Source organism: Homo sapiens, chromosome 9 (assembly GCF_000001405.40).
Source record: "Homo sapiens chromosome 9, GRCh38.p14 Primary Assembly".
Lineage (NCBI taxonomy): Eukaryota > Metazoa > Chordata > Mammalia > Primates > Hominidae > Homo > Homo sapiens.
The window spans coordinates 92,874,395-92,901,684 of record NC_000009.12 but is presented as its reverse complement, the minus strand read 5'-3'; the positions used below and the strand labels follow the sequence as shown (position 1 = coordinate 92,901,684).

General features: G+C 45.2%; 1 protein-coding gene and 2 pseudogenes across 15 annotated transcripts in view, besides 6 other annotated features; 2 read left to right on the top strand and 1 right to left on the bottom strand.

The window, feature by feature from the left end:
- Positions 6,562-7,062: an enhancer, noted in NCBI's record as "H3K4me1 hESC enhancer chr9:95656905-95657405 (GRCh37/hg19 assembly coordinates)". NCBI's record gives its function as "activates a minimal SCP1, AML or CMV promoter by ChIP-STARR-seq in naive H9 embryonic stem cells {active_cell/tissue: H9 hESC(naive)}" and the evidence as "EXISTENCE:reporter gene assay evidence [ECO:0000049][PMID:30033119]".
- On the top strand, positions 7,180-8,017 carry SNX18P2 (sorting nexin 18 pseudogene 2; annotated as a pseudogene).
- Positions 10,064-10,564: an enhancer, noted in NCBI's record as "H3K4me1 hESC enhancer chr9:95653403-95653903 (GRCh37/hg19 assembly coordinates)". NCBI's record gives its function as "activates a minimal SCP1, AML or CMV promoter by ChIP-STARR-seq in primed H9 embryonic stem cells {active_cell/tissue: H9 hESC(primed)}" and the evidence as "EXISTENCE:reporter gene assay evidence [ECO:0000049][PMID:30033119]".
- On the bottom strand, positions 12,130-19,118 carry SPATA31B2P (SPATA31 subfamily B member 2, pseudogene; annotated as a pseudogene). The gene is made up of 4 exons (NR_111003.1): positions 18,896-19,118; positions 17,685-17,779; positions 17,059-17,119; positions 12,130-16,803 (listed from the first exon to the last, which is right to left on the bottom strand). The product of NR_111003.1 is annotated as an SPATA31 subfamily B member 2, pseudogene (transcript).
- Positions 18,034-18,550: an enhancer, noted in NCBI's record as "H3K4me1 hESC enhancer chr9:95645417-95645933 (GRCh37/hg19 assembly coordinates)". NCBI's record gives its function as "activates a minimal SCP1, AML or CMV promoter by ChIP-STARR-seq in naive H9 embryonic stem cells {active_cell/tissue: H9 hESC(naive)}" and the evidence as "EXISTENCE:reporter gene assay evidence [ECO:0000049][PMID:30033119]".
- Positions 18,551-19,068: an enhancer, noted in NCBI's record as "H3K4me1 hESC enhancer chr9:95644899-95645416 (GRCh37/hg19 assembly coordinates)". NCBI's record gives its function as "activates a minimal SCP1, AML or CMV promoter by ChIP-STARR-seq in naive H9 embryonic stem cells {active_cell/tissue: H9 hESC(naive)}" and the evidence as "EXISTENCE:reporter gene assay evidence [ECO:0000049][PMID:30033119]".
- Positions 23,357-23,892: an enhancer, noted in NCBI's record as "H3K27ac hESC enhancer chr9:95640075-95640610 (GRCh37/hg19 assembly coordinates)". NCBI's record gives its function as "activates a minimal SCP1, AML or CMV promoter by ChIP-STARR-seq in naive H9 embryonic stem cells {active_cell/tissue: H9 hESC(naive)}" and the evidence as "EXISTENCE:reporter gene assay evidence [ECO:0000049][PMID:30033119]".
- Positions 23,404-23,843: an enhancer, noted in NCBI's record as "active region_28605". NCBI's record gives its function as "activates an Ori minimal core promoter by ATAC-STARR-seq in GM12878 lymphoblastoid cells {active_cell/tissue: GM12878}" and the evidence as "EXISTENCE:reporter gene assay evidence [ECO:0000049][PMID:35858748]".
- The window catches only part of ZNF484 (zinc finger protein 484), a 33,857-nt gene continuing 30,213 nt past the window's right edge, over positions 23,647-27,290 (top strand). For 5 of the 14 annotated variants that reach the window (NM_031486.4, XM_011519075.3, NM_001261460.3 and 2 more), the window contains exons 1-2: positions 23,647-23,795; positions 26,626-26,670. In NM_031486.4, coding sequence (NP_113674.1) covers positions 26,656-26,670 — 15 coding nt within the window. In that variant the 5' untranslated portion in view covers positions 23,647-23,795; positions 26,626-26,655. Of the gene's footprint in view, positions 23,866-26,625; positions 26,671-27,290 lie in introns of all 14 variants that reach the window. The other 9 variants (NM_001354537.2, XM_011519073.3, NM_001261459.3 and 6 more) reach the window with 3 other exon arrangements.

The following is a 27,290-nucleotide window of genomic DNA, read 5'->3' as shown; positions in this document are numbered from 1 at the left end:
AAAGAGAATAAAATACCTAGGAATCCAACTTACAAGGGATGTGAAGGACCTCTTCAAGGAGAACTACAAACCACTGCTCAATGAAATAAAAGAGGATACAAAGAAATGGAAGAACATTCCACGCTCATGGGTAGGAAGAATCAATATCATGAAAATGGCCATACTGCCCAAGGTAATTTGTAGATTCAATGCCATCCCCATCAAGCTACCAATGACTTTCTTCACAGAATTGGAAAAAACTACTTTAAAGTTCATATGGAACCAAAAAAGAGCCCACATCACCAAGTCAATCCTAAGCCAAAAGAACAAAGCTGGAGGCATCACGCTACCTGACTTCAAACTATACTACAAGGCTACAGTAACCAAAACAGCATGGTACTGGTACCAAAACAGAGATATAGATCAATGGAACAGAACAGAGCCCTCAGAAATAACGCCACATATCTACAACTATCTGATCTTTGACAAACCTGAGAAAAACAAGCAATGGGGAAAGGATTCCCTATTTAATAAATGGTGCTGGGAAAACTGGCTAGCCATATGTAGAAAGCTGAAACTGGATCCCTTCCTTACACCTTATACAAAAATTAATTCAAGATGGATTAAAGACTTAAACGTTAGAACTCAAGCCATAAAAACCCTAGAAGAAAACCTAGGCATTACCATTCAGGACATAGGCATGGGCAAGGACTTCATGTCTAAAACCCCAAAAGTAATGGCAACAAATGCCAAAATTGACAAATGGGATCTAATTAAACTAAAGAGCTTCTGCACAGCAAAAGAAACTGCCATCAGAGTGAACAGGCAACCTACAAAATGGGAGAAAATTTTTGCAACCTACTCATCTGACAAAGGGCTAATATCCAGAATCTACAATGAACTCAAACAAATTTCCAAGAAAAAACAACCCCATCAAAAAGTGGGCAAAGGACATGAACAGACACTTCTCAAAAGAAGACATTTATGCAGCCAAAAAACACATGAAAAAATGCTCAGCATCACTGGTCATCAGAGAAATGCAAATCAAAACCACAATGAGATACCATCTCACACCAGTTAGAATGGCAATCATCAAAAAGTCAGGAAACAACAGGTGCTGGAGAGGATGTGGAGAAATAGGAACACTTTTACACTGTTGGTGGGACTGTAAACTAGTTCAACCATTGTGGAAGTCAGTGCGGCGATTCCTCAGGGATCTAGAACTAGAAATACCATTGACCCAGCCATCCCATTACTGGGTATATACCCAAAGGACTATAAATTATGCTGCTATAAAGACACATGCACACGTATGTTTATTGCAGCACTATTCACAATAGCAAAGACTTGGAACCAACCCAAATGTCCAACAATGATAGACTGGATTAAGAAAATGTGGCACATATACACCATGGAATACTATGCAGCCATAAAAAGTGATGAGTTCATGTCCTTTGTAGGGACATGGATGAAATTGGAAATCATCATTCTCAGTAAACTATCACAAGAACAAAAAACCAAACACTGTATATTCTCACTCATAGGTGGGAATTGAACATTGAGAACACATGGACACAGGAAGGGAAACATCACACTCTGGGGACTGAAAATTAGCTAATTTTTGTAGTTTTAGTAGAGTCAAGGTTTCACCATGTTGGTCAGGATGGTCTTGATCTCTTGAACTCATGATCTGCCCACCTTGGCCTCCCAAAGTCATGGGATTACAGGCATGAGCCACTGTGCCCAGCCATTGTTTAACCTTTGTACCAATAAAACACCACTTTTCTAAAATTATGTATATCCAATGGACCAATATTATCTATTTTTATCAGATTACTCTAAATAGCATTACACAGATACATCCTCTATTATCTAAACTTAAAATAAGTAGGAATTTTACTTTATTTATGTGATTATTTTTGTTTTTAAGCAAACTTCATGTTATGTCTAGTCCCTAAAAATACTAAAGGCCACATTTTGTAAGTGGTGTATTATTCTCATGATAATGTCTCTTGTTTAACTTGAACATTATTTTTTTAATGTATTTTAGATGGAGCCAGACTGTGTAGAACAAATAATTACAGAAACAAAGAAAAGTATGTTTCCAAAATTTATTAATTAAATTTAGGTTTATTTTAGTAATAAAGTGTAAATAGCAAATGGCATTCCTTTTCATTATTGGGTTAGTAGATACTACGTTCAGTATCTTTTTCTTACACACATCTAATGAAAGATGTGAAAACAAAAACTTTCACAGTGAAGAGTATACTCATGCACCATTAATTCATCATGTCCCATAGCTTAAAAAATTCCCAAGAAGTGTATCCATCTCTTTTTTACTGGCGCTACAATTTCTTCACTTTTGCCATCCTCATGGAACTGTCAGCCAGCACACTGGAAGGATTCTCTGAAAACAAAGGCATCATCAAGTTCTCTGGGTTTTGGTAGAGATTGAAGGCCAACAGACCTCAGACTCATTTAGAAATATTTAGTTGAGGAATAACCCTTCATAAGCAGTCACTTGACAGGTGACATTTTAAATCTCCTGTCATTTACTGTGTCATTGGCTTACATCTGTTCTCAGGAAAAGTTCCAAAATTTTCACCATGAAATAAAAACACCCATGTCAATGTAATTCTTGTCAAGTTACTCAGCCTTATCTCTTGCCACTTACCTCACTCTGCCCTTTGCTCTAGCACAAAAGTGGATGGAGTAGAACTCTGTAGGGCTCTTCCTCACCTCAGGTTCTTTGCCTTCGCCTCGTCTCTCTATCTGGCAAGCTTTTCTTTGTCCTTCAGGTATCAACCTATGTATCTCCTCCACCACAAAGCCCATGATATTGACACAAAAGTGGGAGAGATGTCCCTTCTGTGTGTTCCAGTAGTGCCCTGCTTTATACCTGTCATAGTGTCTATGACTCTATATAGACATTGCCTGCCTGTCTGTTGTTTTAGGTTATAGCATATGACTGTTGAGAGGTGGACAATGCCATCTTCATCTTGTAATTCCAGTACTGATCCTAGTGCCTTAGCACGTGGGTGTTGAGTACGCGAATGAAGAATGAAAAAGCTGCGATATTTAACCACAATTAGAATTAATGCCATGTGTTAATTATTTAATAGTAATTTTGTATTGTAATTGTACGTACATATTTCTCATTCTTAATAACTCTGATAACGTTCTCTTTAGATTTTAAACTCACACTTAGTTAACTGAAATGTTTTGGGTAGAGAACATAATCCTTTCTTTTTCTTTCCAGCTTTTGCTGTGTTGGGCACTTGCTCCTGTCTACTTTCTTCTCTAGAATCCACTGGTAAGCCACATCTAATAAAGAGAATATTTAACCATAAAATCTTAAGGAAAAGTTGTGTGATTTAAAAGGTCATAAAACTTTATTACTGGGCTATTTACATGAAGTTTTAATTATTTCTTATAAAATATATAACATCACAATCTTTACTAAAGTAGAATATTTTCATATCATATGTATGATGAAAATTTATATGGTATTTTAAATGATGTTTTTTAGCCTCCTTAAGTTTTAAGTGGATCTTGCAAATGAACACCAGTATTATGGAGTTTGACATACTCAAATTGCCCGAATGTCAGCTGTTTAATAAGCCAAACAACCAAGTCATCCTTGATACTTTAGTAAAGGTCGTCGAAGGCTTCTTTGCATTTTGCAGGTTTTATTACTATATATAGTAGGATACTTAAGGAGTACCTGCCAGGTTTGTCCATACTAATGTTATGAATTTCTTTTTGTAGGTTAACCGTATTTTGTGTGGAGATACTTTGAGGCTCTGTAAATATCTGGTTACTCCTAAAAACCCACTAGATTTAGCATTTCATTGATATCTTGTCTTTGAACAAGTATTACTGTGATGGTTGCCAGATGATTATTTTCATATTCTCTTCTTTGTTCTACATGGAGAAATAAAACCAATAAATAAAGGAGAAGGGAAAGCTCATGATTCTGGTGCTCCAATTCCCCAAGATCAGGCCAGTGGTAGACATTTCTTTGTGTCTGACTTTATGTCTTTTTTATTTGTCTCTGTTACTCTTGTCAGCACCTTTTTACTTTCTGGCACAAGATGTTCTAAACTAATCTTGTATTTTCTCTGTCCCAGTCCTAGAATGAGTAATTTTTCTTAGAAGCAGAGTTGGAACCACCGAGGAAGCAGAGGTGAGCCTTCCCCAGCACACACTCACTAGTCCCCAACAGAAGAACTGTTGCTGCATCCACTGAGGTACCAAGAAACTAGCAAAGGGCCTTCTAGCTGTCTGGGGACAGTCCTCTTGTGGTCCCTGGCTCAGCCTCAAGGGTTCTGGATTAGTTTCCCTGCAGCCTCTGTGCTGTGTCTCTGGATCGGGGCTCTGCGGGAAGGGCCCTGGGAGACCCAGCAGCACAGGGTGTCTCGTCTACCAAATGTCCCTCCCTTCCTCCCACTCTGACACTCAGGAATAGGGTAGATGGCATGTCCAGGCAGTGCCAGGCCACCTCATTGTCTCCTTTGAGATGGGCCCAGAGGGCCTTGGGGGGTGAGTGTGAAGCTGGGTACCTGAAGCCTGAGGCTGACTGTCCCTCCCTGTGTCTTGGAGGAGAGGCCTTGGGGCCCAAGAAAACCCCCAGGGCCTGATCTCTGGGCACACATGCAGGGAGGGAGGGTCTGTGGGCTGATTGGGGCATTGTAATGAGACGTTGAGCACCGCTGCACAGGGGCCTCATCAGTGGACCATGGTCAGAGATGACCTAGTTAGCAGGACCTGGTCAGTTGGGACTTGATCAGCAGGGACCTGGCTAGAGGGTGGCCTCCTCAGTGAAGGCCTCACCAATGGGGACCTGGTGACCTAGTCATTGGAAGCCTAGTCAGTGGGGACCTGGTCAGTGGTGGCCTTATTAGTGGGGCCTGATCGGTTGGAACATAAACAATAAAAAACTGGTCGGTGGGGTCTATTCAGTATATTAGGGGTCTGGTCAGTGTGGGGCCTTAGTGGCTTGGAGCCTGGTCAGTGATGGCCTGGTCAGAGGGGGCTCAGTCAGCTGGGGACTGATCCATGGAGAATTGTTCAGTGGGGGTGAGGTGAGGGGCAACCTGGTAAATTGTGGTCTTGTCAGTGGGAACCCAGTCAGTGGGGTCTGGTCCATGAGGCCTATTAATAGGGGCCTCTTCCTGGTTATGGAGATATGGTCAGTGGGGACTTGGCCAGTGGGACCTGGTCAATGGAGGAGTGGTCATTAGGGGCCTTGTCAGTGGGACCTGGTTGGGGGATGCCTGGTCAGTAGGAACCTGGCCAGTTGGCTGCTATGTGACCTTAGGCAGGGGGTTTGTCTGTGGAGCCTCCCTGCCTCCATCTGTAGGGAAGGTGAGTCAGGGCACCCTGGAGGGTTGCTGGAAAGGGAAAGTGAGAAGATGTGTTGAATCCAGCACTGCTTGGCAGACCTCCAACTTTACACATGACCTGGGTTCCACCTGGAGAGGGTGCCAGCCCTCTCTGCTCTGCTCAGCGCCCCTCCTCTGTCTGCATCCCCAGGACCACCCCCTGTGGGGAGGGCAGAGATTGGGGAAGCACCTGTGGAGGCTCTAATCCTGGCCCTGGGCCCTGGTGGTGATAGTGATGAGGACCTGGGTGCACCTGTGAGTGAGCAGCTAGGTCAGGCCAGAGAAGCAAGACAAACACACCCATATGTGCATACACACACACATACACACATGCATGCATAAACACATTGCATGCACACATGTGAGTTCAGGGGATACAGGATACTGATTCTGGGCCCTCTTGACCCAAGCAGGCTCCTGTTGTGGTGCATTGTGTCACCCCACGATGTCACTGTTGCTGAGCCCCCATCGCCTTTGTGTTGTGGAGCAGTTAGAGACACACAGCAGTGTCTGTGAGTGGCTCTGCATGAAGGACCGTTTTCTAGGTGAGAGGCACATCTCAGCACAGCTCACTGATCAGACTTAAGTGAGTGGAACCTGCTGTCTTCTCTTCCTCCTGGTTTAGGGACAGTCGCTATCAGGTGGGTGGTTTTGGCCTCTGGGCAGCTACTGAGGGTAAACCCTGAGCACTCACCAGGTGCCTGTTCTGTGCTGACAGTCATCTGATTCATCCTGGCAGCAATTCCATTCTGCATCTCCTCTGGACACCCACAGGACCACCAGGACAACCCCATCATGGCCCTGTCACCAGGCCCACCCCATCATGGCCCTGTCACCAGGCCCAGTCTGGCTTCATGATAACCAAGATGCAGGTCCAGAGACAACTGCCCTACTTGGTGCCTGCATCTGACCCCCCTTGGTGGGTAGTGATGAACACAACATGGAAGAAGCCAGGGCAGCATGTGGCCAGCTGCCCGGCAGCCCCACATGGCTCCTGGGCCTTGGGAAGTCATTCTCAAAGGGGAAGCTGGAAACTTTGATGTCCCTGGAGGGGAGGGTGAACGTGGCATCCTGACAACCCTGGCAGCCAGCAGCATGGCATACATCTTCTCACCCAACCTGTGGGACAGAGGCCCCCTCCTGGGAAACAAGATCCATACCTAAAGTGTCCTGGCCCAGCTGGGCCTCATCCTGGGCCCTAGGAGGGGAGGGGCACCATGGGCCCTCCAGCAGCAGTCAGGATTACCACCCAGGGGACTCAGCCTTCTGTGGCTCTGGCCAGACTTAGAATTTGGCCCAAGACAGGACAAGCTCGCTCAGAGCAGCATGTCAGTACCCAGAGCCTGTGCATGCCAGGCAAGGCCATGCTGGCTCAAAGAGCAACAAGCCACCTCTGCAAGGGTGTGCCTGGAGCAGGTGGACCAGCCACGAGCCTCACCCACTCAAGGAAACAGGGGTGGCCAGGTTCCCACAGCCTGAGTGGCTGCCACCTGATGACTGATGGAGAGGAGGCCTAAGGAAAAGCAGATGGCACTGGGGACCTACCTCCAGGGCAGAATAACTAATTTACCCTGACTGGCAGCGAGTGAGGTTCGTGGCTGGTCCACCTGCTCCTGGCACACCCTTGCAGAGGTGGCTGTTTGTTCTTTGAGCCAGCTTGGCCTTGCCTGGCATGCACAGGCCTCAGTGCAACAACTGTGCTACAAATGGAGCCACATAGAGGAAATGAGCAGCAGGCTCAGGAGCAGGGTGTGCGCTGCCTTTGGGGTTCCAGTCCATGCATCAGGGCTCCTACAGCACTGTGGGCTTCTTGGGTGCCAAGAGGCAGACCACAGGCCATCTTGAGGAGGACTCTATGTTCAAGTGCAGAAAGGGCCCAATCTGGTGGATGAACCACACGGCCAGCTTCTGGGTGCAGGCACAGTGCCACATCTTCTGTCACTTCCTGATGTGCCCCACCAGCGCTGAAAAGACAGCCTGGAGACAGGGCAAGAGGAAGGCTGAGAAGGATGAGGTGGTGAGTTCCAGCTTCTTCCTGACTCTGAGCCCACCCCCAGGGTGGCCCTCAACCTTTAGAAGTGGGAGAGCAAAATTGAAGGCTTCGAGTGCTTCATCAAGAAGATGGACAACAGGGCACTCAGCTCAACTTCACAGCCAATGAGTTGACATGCAAGTTGATGATGGTCAGAGGCTTTAAGAAAGAGCAGCAGAAGGCAGCCAGTTCTTCTTCCGCCTTAGCCAGGTCTTGGATCTGGAACAGGCCATCACTTCACCAGAGATGCCTTCAACACCGTCTGTGAGCTCTTTGCCAATGAACCCAGCCAGGAAGTGGACTCAGTCATGGACCTGTTAGTGCTGTCTCAGGGACACCAGACCAACATCCTGGACATCATCCACATACACAAGGAAGCTCTTACCAAAGTCATGGAGAGTAGGCAACATGTGGCAGAAGGGAGGACAGAGGTGCAGAGGCTGATAACGTCAGAATCACAGGAACAGGATTTTTTGGGACACTTTGGCTGAAATTCACCACTTCCATCCAATTTGAGTGAGAGATATGAACTCACAGATGCAGGATTTCTTGCAACTAGAGATACTATTTTTTCAAAAAGTCACCCAGGAATTGATAGTGTTGAATGAATAGATACTCCCCTGTGGACTATTTCCAGTTCAAGGATACTTTCTGCAGCAGAATAATAACACTAGCAAAGAGCTAGTGCTAGCTATTGGTGGTAGGACAAGGATGGTTTTGCTCTCAACTGAAACTCAGCTGAATGTAGAATTGTGTAGGAAACAGTTAATATGGTGATAGAATAGAAAGAGTAGCAAACATGAACTAAATCATGCTATGAATGCCTACACTACCATTGTAACTTTTGGAAGAATGATACCACTTATTTTATTGCTTTTTGAAGGATGAATATTTTAGTATATATGCTGTAGACCTCAAACCCTGTGAAGAGTCTCAAAGAAGCTGGCTGGATAAAGCCTGCTGTGGATGTCTTTATATTCAAAGATTGATGATGCAATTTGAATATGTATCCCCACCAAATCTCATGTTGAATTATATTTCCTAATGTGGAAGGTGGATCCTGGTCTAAGGTGATTGAATCCTGAAGGCAAATTTCTCATGAATGGTTTAGCACAATCCTCTTGCTACTGTCCTCACAATCATGAGTGACTTCTCATGAGACTTGGTCATTGAAAACTCTATGTCACCTCCCTACTCTGCGTGTTTTCCTCTTGCCATGTGAGACAACTCTCTCTCTCTTCACCTTGCACAAAGATTGAAAGATTTCTGAGAACTCCCAGAAGCAGAAGCCAATGCTTCTGTCTACCCTGTCTACCCTGCAGAACCATGAGCCAATTAAACCTCTTTTTCAAAATGAATCATACAGAAAATGGCAAATGAGGACTGGAGCATTGCTATAAAGATACCTGAAAATGTGGAAGCAGCTTTGGAACTAGGTAATGGACAGAGGTTGGAAGAGTTTGTAGGGCTCAAAAGAAGACAGATAGATGAGAAAATGTTTGGACCATCTTAGATTGGTTAAATGGTTGTGACAAAAGTCCTGACAGAAACATGGACATTGAAGGCCAGGCTGAGGAGGTCTCAGATAGAAATAAGAAGCTTTCTGGGAAATGTCTTCCTTTTGGATATGGAAAGCTTACACAATGCCTGTACCATCATTGTACCTTAGAAGCAGTGAACTTGCTTTTTATTTCAGAGGCTCATAGGAAAAAGAGACTGTAGCCTTGACTCAGATGAGACTTTGGACTTTGTAACTTTTAGTTAATGCTGAAACGAGTTAAGACTCCTGCTGGCAAGGCATGATTGTATTTTGCAATGTGAGAAGGACATGATGTTTGTGGGGTCAGGGATAGAATAATAGGGTTTGTCTCTATGTCCCTATCAAAACTCATGTGGAACTATACTCCCTAACATTAGAGGTGGGGCCTAGGTAGAAAAAAATTTAGTCATAAAATGGTGCGGGAAGATCCTTCACGAATGATAAAGCACTGGGAGTGGGGAGTCGCCTGCTGCAGAGGCACAGCCCCATGGACAACCTCTACTAGGGCAGTGCACCTGTGGCTTTGCAAGTTTTAGCCCCACGGCTGCTCTCATGGACTGGGCTAGTGTTGAGTGCCTGTAGCTTTTCCACACTGAGGGTGCAAGCTGTTGGTGGGTCTATGAATCTGGCTCTGCCTCTGCAGCAGGCTTCTGCCTGGAAACGGTGGGAGGTGGAGGTGGGTGTGGGGGGGCGGATCCTTCACCAGTGGTTAAGCACCATCTTTTTGATGCTGACCTTGTGATACAGAGTTCTGATGAGATCTGGTTGTATAACAGGGTGTGGGACCTCTTTCCTTTCTCAGTCTTGCTTCTACTCCTGCCATATGAAGCATCTCCTTGCCCGTTGGACTTCTGGTATGATTGGGAGGCTTCCTGAGTCCTCCTAGAAGCAGAAGCCAGTATGCTTCCTTTACAGCCTGCAGAACTGTGAGCCAATTACACCTCTTTTCTTTATGATTATACACAAAATTAGTGCTGTGAAGTGGAGCTATGAAATGCCTTCAAGGCCTTTTCCCCATCGTCTTAGCAATCAACACTCAGCTTCTTTTCATGCAAATATCTGAAGCCTTCATGAATTTTCCCCCTGAAAATGGACTTTTCTTCTTTTACCACATTACCAGGCTGTGACAAAGATATCTTGAGAATGTAGAAGCAGGTTCAGAAGTGGGTAAAAGACAGAGGTTGGGAGAGTTGAGAACGCTTAGAAAACAGCAAGATGAGGAAAAGTTTGGACCACTGAAAAGAATTGTTAAATACTTGTGATCAGAAGGCTGACAGAAAGATGGACAGTGAAGGCCAGACTTAAAAGGTCTCAGATGAAAATGAGGAATTTCCTGTGAACAGGAGCCACAGTTACATTTGATTGGCCTTAACAAAGAACGTGGCTGCATGGTGACCCTGCCCTGGAGATCTGTGAAACTATGAACTTGGGGGTGATAATTTAGGATGTATCTGATGGAATGAACATGTAGGCAGCATAGCTCCAGAGGTGTCCTGTCCGCGTTGAACAGCCTGTGTTCTTATGTGCGACCTAAGAAATGACCTCAAGTTGCAACTTCTATTTAAATGAGAAGCAGAGCTCAAAAATTTAAAAAATTTGCAGCCTAGCCAAATGGTCAAAAAGAAAAGCTGATTTTCAGGAGGAAAATTAGGGAACATTTAGAGTATTTGCATAAAAAAGAGCCCAGTGCAAATAGCCAAGTCAATGGGGAAAAGGCCTTGAAGGCATTTCAGAGACCTTTGCAGCAACTCTTGCTGTCACAGGCCCTGCGGCCTAGAAGAGAAAAATGGTTTCCTGGGCCAGCTCCATGGCCTCCCTGCTGTGTGCATCCTCAGGACACTGCTGCCTGCATCCGTGCAGCTCCAGCTCCAGCCATGGCTGAAAGATGCACAGGTACAGCTTGGGTCACTGCTTCAGAAGTGGCTCCAAGCTTTGATGGCTTCCACATAGTGTTAAGCCAGCAAGTGCACAGAGCAAGAGACTAGAGGCTTGGGAGCCTGCGTCTAGACTCCAGAGGATGTACAGAAAAGCCTGGGTGTCCAGGCGGAAGCCTTTCCAAGAGGTAGAGCCTCATGGAAAGTTTTACTAAGGCAGCAAAGAATGGACATATTGGATTGAAGCCCTCACACAGGGAGGCACCATCCTCCAAACCCCAGATTCATAGACCCACCAACAGCTTACCCCCTCTCTGTGGAAAAGCTACAGGCACTCAACACCAGCGCTGTCCATGAGGGCAGCAGTGGGGACTGATCACTGCAAACCCACAGGTGCATATCTGCCCAAAGCCTTGGGAACCCAGCCCTCACACCCCTGTGCCATGGATGTGGGACAAGGATTCCAAAAGGATGATTTTGGAGCTGTAGGATTGAATGACTGGCCTGCTGCATTTTGGACGTTCATGTATCCTGTGAGTCCCATCAGTGTTTGTTTTTCTTTCAGGCAATTTTTCTTCTATTGGCTGGGAATGCTTACCCATTGCCTGTACAATCATTGTACCTTGGAAGTAGTTAACTTGCTTTATAATTCAGAGGCTTATGGGCAGAAGGGACTGTATCCTTGTCTCAGATAAAACTTTGGGCTTTGGACATTTGCTGGAATGAGTTAAGATTTGGGGGACTGTAGGGAAGGCACCATTGTATTTTGCAATGTGAGAAAGACATGAGATTTGAGTGGGCAGGGACAGAATAATATGACTTGGCTCTGTGTCCCACTAATGTGGAACTATAACGGGAAATGTTAAAGGTGGGGGCTGGTGGAAGGTGATTTAATCATGGTGGAGAGTGGAGGTTGGAAGGTGGGGGTGTCAGGGAGAATTGGGGGGAATTATGGTGGCATTGGGGGTGAAAGACAGGGGTGGGGGCAGATCCTTCACAAATGGTTAAATACCATCTCCTTAATGCTGTCCTTCTGATAGTTCTCGTCATAATTTCGTAGCTGTGAGATTGAATACTGGTCTGCTGGGTTTTGGATGTGCATTGGGCCTGTGGTCCCATTTGTGTTATTTTTCTGGGAAATTTCTTCCCTTTGGATTAAGAAAGCTTACCCAATGTCTGTACCATCGTTGTACCTTGAAAGAAAAGAACTCCGTTTTAACTTCAGGGACTCATAGGCAGAAGATACTGTAGCCTTGTCTCGGATGAGACTTTGAACTTTTTATAGTTGAGTTAGTGCTGGAATGAGTTAAGGCTTTTGGAAACTTTTGAAAAGGCATGATTGTATTTTACCCTGTGAGAAGAACCTGAGATTCAGAAGGGTCAAGGTCGGAATAATATGGTTTGGCTGTGTTTTGCTAGAAAAACTCATGTGAAATTGTAATCCCAAATTTGGGTGGTGAAGCCTGGTGGGAGGTGATTTAATCATGAATGGGAGGAGGGTGGGGGTGTAAGGAGAAAGGGGTGGGGAGGGTGGGGAGGAGTAGCCTGGCCGTAGTGTGGTGGGAGGCTGGTGGGTAGTAGGAAGGGGGAGTAACCTGCTGCAGAGGCAGAGGCTCATGGGAAACCTCTACTAGAACAGTGCACCTGTGGCTTTGCCGGCTTTAGCCCTCATGGATGCTTTCATGGGCTGGGCTGGTGTTAAGTGCCTGTACCTTTTCCATACTGAGGGTGTGGGTTGTTGGTGGGTCTATGTCTCTAGGATGATGGCCTGCTGCATGGGGCCTTCAAGCCCATATGTTCCTTCTGCACTGCCCTAGTAGAGGTATTCCAAGTGGCTCTGCCTCTGCATCAGTTTTCTGCCTGGAAACAGTTGGGGGTGGAGGTGAGTGGGGTGGTGGATCATTCACCAATGGTTAAGCACCTTCTTCTTGATGCTGACCTTGTGATACTGAGTTCTCATGAGATCTGGTTGTATAACAGGGTATGATATCTCTTTCCTCTCTGTCTTGCTCCTACTCCTGCCATATGAAACATTTTATTGCTGCTTGTCCTTCTGGTATGATGGGGAGGCTTCCTGAGTTAGTTAGCCTAGCCAACTAAATCCCTTTTGTTATGATCATACAGAAAATTAGTACTGCGAAGTGAAGCTATGAAATGCCTTCAATGACTTTTCCCCACCGTGTTCTCTGTTAACACTGGTCTTCTTTTTAATGCAAATATCTGAAGTCTTCTTGAAGTTTGCTCTGAAAATGGCCTTTTTTCCTTCTACATTGCCAGGCTGTGACAAAGATAGCTGAAAATATAAAAGCAGGTTCAGAAGTGGCTAACAGCCAGAGGGTGGAGAGTTTGGAGGACTTGGAAGAAGACAGGAAGATGAGGGAAAGTTTGGACCATTGTAGAGACTTGTTAAACAGTTGTGATTAAAATGCTGACAGAAAGAGGGACAGTGAAGGCCCTCATTGTTGCACCGGACACTTTTCAAGGTCTGTTGATCAATTTCTCTGTCTCTGATGGGACAACTCTGGCTCTTGAGGGTGGCTTGCTGACTGCTGGCTGCATAGCTCAGCATTCTGCTGTGTTCTGAGTAGAAGGGGTGCCTGTGGTTGCAGGGAAATCCACAGACTGGGGCTTGAAACTGCTGTTGGTGCTGATTTACCTTCGAGGCATGGCGCACATGGCAAAGTGGTATTTTCTCCTCCAGTATCTGTCCAACTGCTGTCATGAGCCGCTGAGCTTCAGCACTGCTGCTGTACATGCATGATCAGTTTTTTACTGGCTTTTGGCTCTCAGCAGTGACTGGTGCTGGCTTGCTTTTTTTCTCTGATAAAAACCTCTGAAAAAATTGCTTGATGTTTTCTCCAAAGTGGCTTATTGAAGGAGGCTGTTTCTTTGATGGCAGTAGCTGGATGCCTTCATTCTGATGGGTGTGTTCTGTCTTCCGTCTTCCTGCCCGGGGTAAGTTGAGGAGTCCTCAGTCCTTGAAACATTTCTTCATGTTTTTCTAAGTTGGGCTTCCTAGGGTTCTCCCTCTTGTGAGTAGGGGGAAACATTGGCCTTTGGCTCTGGCATGAACCTTGACAGTTTGGGTTCCTGGGCTCCTTGTGCCCCTGCCCCGGGTTGCTCCTTCTGGCTGCCATGAGGTCACGTAGCTCCTGGGAAGCCCGCATGTTCCCAGTAGGCGTGCTCTGGAGATGGCTCTGGGGCACTTGAGAAGCCAAATTCTCTGAAGCATGGGGCACAACAGATGCTTGCCCATCTGGAAGGAACACAACAGCGGCAGAAACTTGAGGCTGGGTCTCTGACTTCGTGGCCATTCCAGGCTCAAATTCACTAACAACCTCCTCCCTAAGACACAGCTTTCTTGGATCTTGGGAGACAGACATTCTAGGGAGGAGAGAGCTTTTGCTGGCCCCTGGAGCCTCGAAACCACGCACATCCTCACTTGTGGTTTGGATGTTTGCCAACATACAGGTTGCCAAGGGGACTCTGGGTTGTGGCACTGCCTCCCTGGTCTCTCCCGCCCTTGAAGATTGGGCTCCTAAGCTCCTGCTCTGCTGGGTGCTGCCTGTGAGGCTGTATGTGAGGGGCTTAGATGGCCACCTGCCCTCCTGTCCAGCTGTAGGAGCCTTCAAGGACCCATGATCATTCCAAGATGGGATCCTTCGTGGGGCCCTCTGGAACTGCTTACATGCAGGTGAGGAGGCCTGAAGCCTCTCTGGCATGTGAACAGATGCTTTGGTCAGCACCTGCTTTCTCAGACTTGCCATTGGTGGCTTTCTAAGGAACGTGGCCACCTCAACTTTTGAGCCAGCCCCAGATTCACAGGTGGCTGAGGAGGGACCGGCAAGCTGTGTATTGCACAAGGATGAAACCAGTTTAAAGCACTGAATGGGCTTGAGGACCCTGAGGGGTGGACCCCACCTGTGTTTGGCCCAAAACCTCAAAATGTGGGCTCCCAGCACCTGTTGAGTACATGGCTCAAGGAAGGAAAGCACCTGGGCTGTGTTCACACAGGCTTTCCCACTTTTGGGGGGTGCTAGATTGCTGGTTTTCATGTGGGTGTTGGACACGGGAAGAGCCTGGTTGACAGCAAGCCAGGATCGATGCATACTCACGGGGATCAAGCCCTCGTTGGTCTGGCCCAACCTCTTACCCATGTGGGCTTTCAGGATGTTTTCTATATGATTCCTGTCCGTGAGTCTTAATAAATCCCTACCGAGTCACTCCTCAAGGGCTTCCTCAAGTTCCTTTCTGACTCTTCAGAGGTCACCCCCAGAGTCTTCCCTGGGAAGCTTTCTATGCCCCTGGATAGATTTTGCGGGGCCTCACCCAGAATTTGCCCCAGATGTGGGCACAGGTCCCTCTCTAGCTGGAACTTCACCTTCTGTGCCTCCTTGCTGCTTTCACCTGTGGACATGGAGGACTGCCAGGACCTGGGTTTGCCCTTCGCCTGACTTTTCCCTGGCAATTCATCCCAAAGCTGCATCAGATCCAGAGACTCTTGAATCTTGCCCTGGTGTTGAATGAACCACTTTTCAATATGTTGCTCTGGAGTTCAGGACTGACTGGAAAGTTCTCAGGCAGAATGGGTGTCCCCTTTCCTGGGGAAGGTTAGGAGTGGAGACACTAAAGATGTCCTGAGATTTTTGGACCCTAGGGGGTAAAGCCAACCCACCTTATAGTTGTTTCCTCAACAAAGGCCATTCAGGGTGCTGAGTTTCAGGTAGGGAGAGAGCTTGCACTTTATTCTGCGACGCAGGGCAAGCTACTCCAGTGTTCTTCATCGGGGATGGAAAAGCAGGAGATAGGACTGGGAAAGAGGATTGAAGATGGGCCTGAGCCATAGGTGTGGGCCGGAATTGGGGTGTGGATGAAATAAAGGGTTGGGACTCAGGCCCCAGATGGGACAGGGGCTGGGCCTGGAAAAGCAGTGGGGACATTGTAGTCTCCCTTTGAATTGGGCAGACATTGGACATTTCATTGATGTAAGGATGTAAGACCCTTACATACAGTCAGTGACCCAGGCATTAGCCACCAGAGATTCACTGTGCAGAGAGGGGAGGCCCCAGAAAAGCTGGCTATAATTCTTCTGAAAACTTTCCTGCAAGAGCCTAGGATCTGAGAGCTTCTGAGGACTGGGCAGCTATTTTGAGTTCTCTCCCATGTTCCAGAAGGGTTTTGGGCTTGTGGTGTCCTGCTCAGCATCCAGTGATTTAACCAAATTCCCCAAAGCATTCAAGTGCTTTTGTGGGCTGTTTTGGAAATCGTCCATCATTTTCTTTTTCCTCTCAAATGTTGATTTCTGTGACTTGTATCCCCACGACATCCTGGCCATCAGAGCTGAGCAAAAATGGTCTACCAGCTTCCATCTGACAGGTCTCTGGTGGGTGGCGGGAAAGATGATCTTGCTGGACTGACGAATTGAAGACGCACCAGGTTCTGGTAGTCTCCTGCCACCAGGAGAAGGCAGAAACTTGACTATTTGAGCCGCCAAGACCTGAGATGGCTGGGACAGAAGCTGCCAAATCCTCACGTGGAGTCAAGCTTTGAGGGACAGTGTCCAGTGGAAGTGCCACTGAGTCACAGTTAGATGGAGTTATCAGAGTGGAGTCCCACAGGGGAGGAGCAGTGAAGCCTTTTGGAGGAGGCGGAGAGCAGGCCAGAGGATCAGGAGTGCGTGGTGGGTGAGGGAAAAGTGCAGGTGGCTCGGGTGAGGGATGTTCTAGGAGAAGGGAAGGTTCTGGTGGCTGGGAGGCACTTAGGGAGGAGACTGAGGTGGTCATTGGGCCTGGTGGTGGGGTGGAGGCCAGATCCTGAGGATGCTTGGTTCAAGGATCCGGGGAAGCTAACAGGGAGAGAATGGGAGCAGCATCTTCTATAGGCTCATGAGAGGACCGGGAGGCTCCATCAGGTGCTCTTTTGCCCACCTCACCTGGGGAGTCTGGACCGGAGAGCTGACCAAAGTCACCTTTTTCAAGGTGTGGCCCTAGGAGGCTGCAGGAGACAGGAGGCACAAGCTGCAGCCAGGAGCAGGTGGATTCGGAGGTCAGAGTGGGCGCTCGGGCCACAGCCCCTCCACCACCCCACACCCTGACTGCCCAATTCTCCTGCTACCCCTTGCCCCAGGCCTTTACTCTCATCCTCTGTCCCCCTGGTCTCCCCATCCCAGGTCAGCTCCAGGCTGCCTATGGCCCTGAGGTCGCATCCCAGCCCTGGTAGGAAGGATGCAGGGAAGGGGAAGTGCCTCACCTCTGCAGTTGTGAAAGCAGGTCCCAAGTCTCCTCCAGGCCTCTCAGGCACTCTCTACAAGCTGGAAATCAGACCGGGTTAGGGCAGTGAGGGAGGGGCCTGGGATCTCACAGGAGGCTGAGTGTATGTTTCTTCAGGGAAGACCATGGGGAATTAGACCCTGGAACCCACCCATCTGTGTCCAAAGCCACATGGCCCCGATGGTAATAGCAAGGCATGGAGGACAGGGCTTTGTCATTCACAAAGGGCTTCCACAAACAGGCCCCCCACCCCCATAGTCCTCACAACTGCCCTGTGTGGAGAAAGGACTGGGGTGGTCTCAAAGAGGAATCAGCCTTAGCAGAGTTGAACAGCTGTTCCCAGGGAGCGGGAGGCCCCCTCAACCCCCTCCGCATCCAGGCAGGCATTGGTCTCCCCAGAACACACACACTGCCCCCTGCTGGGTAACGCTCAGTCCCTGGCCCACCATGGCTTCATTCCGGCATGGAATCTGAGAAGGACCCGGGGTTCTGATTTCCTTCCTAGGAGCCCCCACCTCAGGCTTCTTCAACTGACTTCTTCAGAGTCAGTTCCCTCAGGGACAGACGAGATCAAATTAACTCTAGTGTGCCCTGGCAGAGCCTTACCTCTGAAGACTGTGGTTTTTCATCCTGCCTCTGGGCATCCCCCTCTGCCCTACTGGACACTGGGAGACAAGATGACGCGAGGAGACAAGATGACACTGGGAGACAAGAAATGGCGAGGAGCTAGGACCGGCTCTCCCTCTCCACCCCCAGCCCAGCCGCAGCACTCTGCACTCATGAACCGCATGGCTCTCTCTGTCTTGCTCAGGGAGCTCTGTGTGCTTCCTCCCATTCATGTTTAAATGGATGATAAACTGCTTTTCTTCTTAGAAAAACAGGAAGAGGGGGCCAGGCACGGTGGCTCATGCCTATAATCCGAGCACTTTGTGAGGCCGAGGTGGGTGGATCACCTGAGGTCAGGAGTTTGAGACCAGCCTGGCCATGGTGGAACCCTGTCTCTACTAAAAATACAAAAACTAGCCAGGTGTGGTGGCGGGCACCTGTAATCCCCAGCTACTCAGGACGCTAAGACAGGAGAATAGCTTGAACTCTGGAAGCAAAGGTTGCAGTGAGCAGATATCGCTCCATTTCACTGCAGCCTGCGCAACAGAGTGAGACTCCATCTCAAAAAATAAAATAAAATAAAATAAATAAAAATAACACACACACACACACAGACACACACAGAGGGATTTTCAATATGAGGTCCACCATGGACGCCATCAGTCCCTGTTCCTCTGCTCCTGGAACACCCAGGCTCAGGCCCACAGGCACCACTGAGCTGTCAGGTAGGATTCTGCTTCCCAGGAGACAAGAGGAGATGCCAGGCCCCGGTGGGAGGCCCTTGGGGGCCCAGCACAGGCCCCATATCACCCCACACAGAGGAGGTTGGGCCCCAAGCCACCTGCCCCAGGAAGGGGCTGATGAGCCAGGGCTTAGGGCCTGGCCTCGGACAGAGACCTCCCCTGTCTCATGACCAGAGACCTCCCCCGTCTCATGACCATTCCTGGCCGCTGAGCCCACGGGTTTGATTTTGCCTTCACGCCTCCTGCGCTCCCCAACAGATGGACTGAGGGCTTGGGATGGAAATCCCTGTACACAATCTACCCCTACCAACCCCTGGCTGCCCTGCCTCTCCCTGGAAGCATGATGTTCCGGTCTCTCCTGAGACTTCCCATCGCAGAAGTCCCTCCACTGGATTTGGAAAAGTGGAACTAATAATAAAAAGGAAGGAGAGAATCAAGCTCTGTGGGTCTGGACTGAGGGCTCCTTACCTTTCTCTTCCCAGGCGATGGTGAGGGTGGATCGTCACAATGGAGGTAAGATAAGTAGGGGAGTAATAGGAAGAAGAACCCCAGGGCAAACACCAAGGTGAGGAAGATATCCAACACCCATGGTGTGGAGCTGGGGGTGTTTAGCGATGAGGGACTAAGTAATTTTAGAGGAAAGGGAAGATTCTCCATGTGAATAGGTGCATTGCTTTCAAGCAACTGAGCTCTGGGCATCCCCGTGGAGGCTAGGGACTGGGGCCCAGGCCTGCATCACAGAGCTGGGCCTTCACATCACAAAGGGCTCCTTTGTTGGGGAGGGGCAGTAGGAGGGGGAGACCGAAGCACAGCCCCTCCCCACCCCCCAAGCCGGGGATCCCTCCACCTTCCCACCTTCCAGATCTCTCCTTCCCGCTAAGTTTTGTCAGTGATAGAACTCAGCCAATTTTCTATTCTTTCTCCCTGGAACACATATTACCTGGTTCCTTTTATCTGTTGGAGTTGGTGGCTTGAGGTTACCTATTTTATGGCCCTTGAAAATCTGAAGTTGACTCTGAAATTTTGGCTATGTACCAGGGATTTTTATTCTCAGAATCTCATTTGTCCTCAACTCCAGCTTTCCCACACAATGTTTTTGTCTTATATCAATCCAGGGACAAAATGTAAAGTTCTTTTACTCTTATTTAGTTTTGCAAATTTTGAATAGTAAGTTTTAAAAAAATTATTTCTATCTCACTTTCCTTTTTTTTTTTTTTTTTTTTTTTTTTTGAGGAGTCTCTCTCTGTCGCCCAGGCTGGAGTGCAGTGGCCTGATCTCGGCTCACTGCAAGCTCCACATCCCGGGTTCAAGCCATTCTCCTGTCTCAGCCTTCTGAGTAGCTGGGACTACAGGCGTCCGCCGCCACCACGCCTGACTAATTTCTTTTTGTATTTTTAGTAGAGACGGGGTTTCCCCGTGTTAGCCAGGATGGTCTTGATCTCCTGACCTCGTGATCCGCCCGCCTCTGCCTCCCAAAGTGCTGGGATTACAGGCGTGAGCCACTGCGCCCAGCCTTCTATCTCACTTTCAATCAAAGGGACCTACCCACATACAATTAAGATTTTTTTAAATTCTATTTATGTACTTATGTGTTTATTTTAAGTTCAGGGGTACATGTGCAGGACATGCAGTTTTCCTTTTTTTTTTTTGAGACAGAGTCTCACTCTGTCGCCCAGGCTGGAGTGCAGTGGCGCGCTCTTGGCTCACTGCAAGCTCTGCCTCCTGGGTTCACGCCATTCTCCTGCCTCAGCCTCCGGAGTAGCTGGGACTACAGGCATCTGCCACCGTGCCTGGCTAATTTTTTGTATTTTTAGTAGAAACGGGGTTTCACCGTGTTAGCCAGGATGGTCTGGATCTCCTGACCTCGTGATCCGCCCGCCTTGGCCTCCTAAAGTGCTGAGATTACAGGCATGAGCCACCGCATGGGGCCTGCTGTCTTATTTTAACGTCTCTCTGGGCTTGATAATTTAAAAGGACTGACATTCCTCTGATAAAAGTTATTTTATTTTCTCATTTTCCATCAATATATCCTGTTCAGTGAAATATCTGTTCATGCCTTTAGCCCATTTTCTAATTGGATTGTTTTTCCTTGTTGTTGTTGTTGACTTTTGAAAACTTTAAACAATATTCTAGATATGACCTCTTTGTCAGATATGGTTTATCAGGTGTGGTTTGCAGTTTTCTCCCAGTTTTTACCTTGTCTTTTTATTAACAGGCTCTTATGCAGGGCAAAAGTTTTAAATTTTGATAACATCCAATTAATAAATTCTTATAATTAATTGTGCTTTTCTGGTGTCATGTCTAATAATTATTCATCAAGTCCTAGGACCTGAAGAATTTATCATTAAATTTCATATTTTTACATTGAGATCTATGATCTTTTTTTTTCTTTTTTTGAGAGGGAGTCTCTCTCTGTCACCCAGGCTGGAGTGCAGTGGCACCATCTCAGCTCACTGCAAGCTCCACCTCCTGGGCTCACGCCATTCTCCTCTCTCAGCCTCCCCAGTAGCTGGGACTACAGGCACCTGCCACCACGCCCAGTTAATTTTTTTGTATTTTTAGTAGAGACGGGGTTTCACCTTGTTAGCCAGGATGGTCTCGATCTCCTGACCTCGTGATCCACCCGCCTTGGCCTCCCAAAGTGCTGGGATTACAGGCGTGAGCCACCACGCCTGGCTGATCCTTTTTTTTTTAAATAAAGACATGAGGTTAGATTGAGGTTCATTGTTTTGTCTATGGTATCTAACTGCTCCAGAACCACTGTACCATTGAATTGATATTGCATCTTTTTCAAAAGTCAGTTGGTTGTACTTGTATGGAAATATTTCTGAGTTCTCAATTCTGTTTTATTGAACTGTCTATACCCCTGCCAATACCACACTGTCTTGATTTCTGTAGCTACGTAAAAAGTTAAAAAATTGGGTAGAATAATTCCTCCCACTTTATTCTTCTATTTCAGACTTGTTTTGTTGAGCTGTATCATAGAAAAAACTATTCGTGACACCTGTTAAAAAATAGTAAGACAAACTTTATTCAGAGGGATTATTGCAATAGATATAGAGATTACTGCAATAGGGTCTTGCAGTAATCTCCAGTTTCCATATATTCAGGTTTCCCTCTGAATAGAAATTTTATAGCCACAGAGCAGGGTGGAGGGGTGGTAGTGTACGGAAAATTACTAATAGGAGGGAATCTGGCTAAACTGACCTCACAGAATTCTTGCTGAAGCCATGCCAGAGTGATCAGATATCACCTGGGGATAGTAGACAATAAGAAAACCAATTAGATATCAATGGTGATCAGATACGAAGATGGAGGATTCTGACTAAATTGCCTTGCTAGGATTCTTACTAATATTGGGCAATTCACAGACAACACAAAAGCCCAAAAGCCAGGGTTTAGTTGACAAGAGAGTTCAAAGGAGCATGGCTAGAGTCTGGTTATGGAGAGAATTTTTGTCAGCTGACTGGGTCTTCCAGAACTGTGTAGAATAAAAATGATGAGCACAGACATATTTTCCTTCTTCCCAAACTGAACAGGAAAGCATTCAGTCTTTTTCATCTTTTAGTTTGACATTAGCTGTAGATTTTTTTCTAACTTAAAAGTTAGAAAGTTTACCTCTGTTCCTAATTCCTGAAAGTTTTTTTTTCATTATAAATGGGTGTTGAATTTTCTCAAATTCTTTTCCTGCATTGATATAATCATGTAATATGCTTATCTTTAGCTTGCTAATGTGGGGGGTTACACAAATTGATTTTTGAATACCAAAACAGCTTTTTATTCCTGGAATAAATATCACTTGTTCATGGTTTGTAGTTATTTTTATATATTGTTGAATTATTTTTGCTATTATTTGGTTGAGAATTTTTCCATCTATATTCATGAAGAATACTGATTTCTTCTTCTTCTGTCTTTAGCTCTGATATCAGAGTAACACTGGCCTCATGAGTTGGAATATCTTTCTATTGTCTTCTTTCTATTCTTTTTTTATTCTGGAAGAGACTGGATATAATTCGTGTTAACCTTTAAATGTTTGTTAGAATTCTCTGATCTAGCTATCCAGGCCTTAAGATTTCTTTTTCAGATATTTCAAATTATGACTTCAGTTCTAGGGCTATTCAACATAACTATTTCATGTAAGAGAGAATTTGTGCTTTTTCAAGAATTAGTGCATTTCATCTATGTTGTGAAATTTATGTTTGTAGAGTTGTTTGTAGTATTCTCTTTATTCTTTTGATTTCGTCATGGTCTACAGTGGTATCTCCTGTTTCATTCTGGATATTGATATTTTGTGTCTCCTCTACAGATTTGTCAATTTTATTAACATTTACAGAACCAGCTTTTGTTTAATCGGTTTTTCTCTATTTTTCTTTTTACATTTTATTGAGTCATCTTCTTATCCTTATTATTTCCTTTCTTTCACTTGCCTTCGGTTTATTTTGCTCTTCTTTTTCTAGTATGTGAGGGAGCTTGGTTATTGCTTTGAAATTTTTTTCTTTTCTAATGTAAGCCCTTAGTGGTATATACATTTTTCTCTCACCACTGATTTAGCCACATCCCACAAATTTTGATATGTTGTGTTTCACTGTCATTCATTTCAATGTATTTTAAAAATTCATTCACTTTCACTTTCATTCATTTCAATGTATTTTAAAAATTTGAGACTTTCTCTCTGAACAATGGATTATTTAGCATGTGTTTTCACGTGTTTGGAGATTTTCCTTTTATCTTCCTGTTATTGATTTCTAGTTTAATTCTATTGTGTTCAGAGAACAAACTGTATGATTTCAGTTGTTTCAAATTTGCTGAGATTTGTTTTATGACCCAGGTTACTTCATATCTTGCTAAATGTCCCATCGACACGAATAAAATGTGTATTCGGCTGCGTTTGCGGTGTTACATAAATGCTGATTAGTTCCTGTTGATTAACAGTGTTGTTGTGTCCACAGAAGCATTGGAGAAAGACTGTAACCTGAGGTGATAGGCTTTGATTGTGTCCTGGCTTAGTATGATGGGACACACCTCTGCTTGCTTCCTTTCCTTTGGACAACCCTCAGCCTCTCAGTCTCTACATGACCTCAACATGGCCGCCCACAGGCCAGAGTGTCTACATGGGCGCCGCCATACTGGCGCCCAGCCTAAGCCGCTGAAACGGGAGCGTGTTTGGCAAAGCGCCATGTTGATTACTGGCAACCTTCAGGCCATGAAGACTGCTGAGCATGCGCAAACCCAGGCAGCGCTGTAAGAAGTACCTCTAGGCCTGGGAGGCATTGAGAAAAAGGAAGTGGGTCCTGTTCTGGTTCTTGCGACTATAGTCACCTCCCGAGGCAAATGACCACTGTCCTGAGAGGACGTGGGTGAGGGGCAGGTGAGTAGAGGGATGGCAGCATCTGTGGACTGAGCAAGAAGAATCTCTGATGTCTGTCCTGAGCCTTCCGGTCAGTGATGGGGTCGGTCAGTGGATGGAATAGTGGAAGTCGGAGCGATCTCTGATGGTGGATCTGAGGGAGGAGTGAGGGGGCACTGAGGGGTCTCTGGTGGTGGATCTGCAGGCGGAGTGAGGACGGACTGGGGGTCTCTGTCTGGTGGTGGATCTGAGGGCGGAGTGAGGGCGGACTGTGGGGTTGTGGGGGAGGATGACTATGGGAACTAAGGAGGGATCTGAGGAGTGTGAATGATGCACATCTTAATTAGTTTCCTCTCTTTTATACGTACCGATCTGTTTATATTTTCGTTTCTGTTTCATTATAATGATATATTTTGCTAAAGATTTAAAGAATATATTACATAGAATTGCATGTTTCCATTTCCATTTTGTTCTCTTTCATATCCAGACTAGTAGCTCCTTTATCATTACGGTTATTATATTTATATATCATTCATTCTTTCTCTATTTAAAAAGAATCAAGCGTCTGAAAGGTTTATCTGTTTCATTGGACATTTTGAAATGTCCAATAAAATACTCCCTACTCTTTTAATATTAATTTTTTTCTCTTTTTCTTTTTAGGTACTTTCTCTTTTTCCCACTTTTTGATGTAATTTGTTGTTCTTTCCCTTATTTTCTTAAGTTTTATGCGGGATACATTTAGGGTTGTAAAGTTTCTTTAAGTACATCTTTATGAAATGCATAAGTTCATTTTGATGTTTCCCTTTGAATCTTAGTTATTTAGGAGAGTTTATTCATTCCCAAATTATTAAAGTATGTTTTAGCTGTTTTTTATTTTATTGTATTGTCAGAAAATGCAGACTATCAAGTCTCAACTTTTAACAATTTATCAAGATTTTCCTTGAAGCCAAGTTACTCAATGAACTTTGTTCAACAGATATAAAAGAAAAATTATATTTTGTTGTATGGACCAAAATTCTCTTTAATTAAGTCTTGCTTGTTGGTATTTTTCAAATCTTTATCTTTCCTAATTTTGATCTACTTGTTTCATATTCTGGAGGAGATACAATAAAAATCACTTTTAATAGTTCATTTTGCAGTTATATGTGCTTTTTTGCTAATTTTATTTGTGCATCTGAGGGATGGGCATACATACACTTAATGGTTAGTGCATTTTTTATCCTTTTTCATGTATTAAGTGGTATTATTATAGGATCCCTTTTTTCAACCAAAAAGAAAAAAGAAAAACACTTTTTAACATCGAATTCCAAGAAAAACACTTTTTAACATCGAATTCCACGTTGATACTCACATTGCCACCCTTGTTTTTACTTTCATTGCATTTGGATGATGTCTTTGCCCAGAGCTTTATTTTGTATCCTATTTGTCTCTGTGTCAGATTACCTATTTGTTTACAATAGATACTTTTGCTTTTTTCAAATCCAATTTATAGTCTCTGTTGATAGAATTTTACATCTCAGTTTAGTGTGATAATGATTTATCTGATTTTATGCCTTCCATTTGATGTTTACTATTTAGCTCTTTTTATTTTCTGCCTTTTCTTTACATAATATTTTCATTGGATTGATGAAATTTCTGCTCATTGTTTCCATTCTGCACCCCATTTTTTCTGTTTTTTTCCTGAGATTATTAGGAATGTTTTATCATAGGGTATTATTAATTTTCTCTTTAGTGGCCTCTTTATCACATTGTCACATTGTCCTTTTTTATAATTATATATCTTTTGCAAGAATTATTGCTAAACAATATTTTCCTATTCAAGATTTATTGTGTGGTTCATTTTACATTTATTTGGACTTCTTCCAGTGTTTCTCTCAAAGATAGAGATACTCTGCAAGTGCTTTTATTTCTGAAAATGTCTCTCTGGCCCTGACAGAGAAGTGGTCTTTTAGATGCTATTTCCGACATCATTTAGCTTTCAGTACTGCAGATGAAGAGTTTTCTTATTTCCTTCATTTTTCCTCTGTAAATAGTCTGGTTTTTCACAATTAGATTTAGAAGTGTTTTCTATTTATAAATTTATTCTATACATGCAAGAATTTCCCCTGATTTGTTCATTGATTGAGTTCCTGTTTGTGTATGTGGAGGAGCTTATAGCCTAGTTGTGTCAGTGGTGGGAGATGTGTATGTGTGCTAAGGCCCCAGTGCAGAAACAGGTGTGCCTAGGATTGGGACTCTTGGGATGGCTGATGGAGATGCATGATCGGTAGTCATACAGGCATAGAGGCCAGTCATGGGGATGTGGGATTGATTGGTAGAGAGCCAGGACCATTAGGGTAGAGGAATTGAAGACTCTGTGATCAGGTATTGTAGGATGAGTGATGCAGGCCTGGCTCAGGGGCAGCAAGGCATGGAAATCAGTGAATCTGAGGTTTCAGTAATGGCTTCTGGGAGTAGTCTCTGGGCACCAATTGACACTTAGAGCAGATTGAAGAGTGGTAGTGAGGAGTTAGGTACCAGGGTTGATGATAACTTGAAGGGCCTGTGAAATCAGATAGTATAATAACGTAATAGAACAGTATATCCTTTGGATATTTTATAAAGTATTTAAGCAATCCACAATTATTGAATATCTAAACATTTCTAATCTTTCTTTTTTATTAACCATGTTATGGTAAAACTTTTGCACTTAAATCTTTGTACAATATGGGATGGGATGATATTTTAATGTGGTAGTTCCAGAAATAAATTTTTGAGTAAGGTGCAAGGGCACTAAATGATGTATGTGTCCATGTGTGACATTGGCACAGTTCCTTCTCTCATGGGTACCTCTACCCATCTGTTTTCTCAGATTTCTGCCCCTTTGTCCGAAGAGCCAAAAATGACCAAGTCCCTGGTGAGTTCTTATTTGTTCATCTGTTTATTTGTTGCTTTCTTTTACTTTTAGTGGATTTTAGGAGACATCTAACAATCCCTATAGTAAGATGACAAGACTAAATAAATAAAAACTAAGATCAGATAAAATGAAGAAGAGACTGTCAGCCCCAAGTCAAGTTTAGAATATATGGTCTTACACAGTCATGAACTTTGAACTGTTAAATTGTCTCTGATCTTCCTGAAAGACATAGCAATAATGGAAATTGGATACATGGTTTATATTAATAAAATTAACAAGTAATTTATTTCATCTGTAGTAAAGATGTCATGGTTCTTGATGTTTGAGGAATTTTTTGATAGATCTTCAGATGGTTAATGACAGAGCAGTCTTCAACAACAACCCTACTGAAAGTGCACTAACAGGCCAGGCGCGGTGGCTCACACCTGTAGTCCCAGCACTTTGGGAGGTCGAGGCAGGTGGATCACATGAGATCAGGAGTTCCAGACCAACCTGGCCAACAAGGTGAAACCCCGTCTGCACTAAAAATACAAAAATTAGCCAGGTGTGGTGGCGGGCGCCTGTAATCCCAGCTACCCAGGAGGCTGAGGCAGGAGAATTGCTTTAACCCAGGAGGCAGA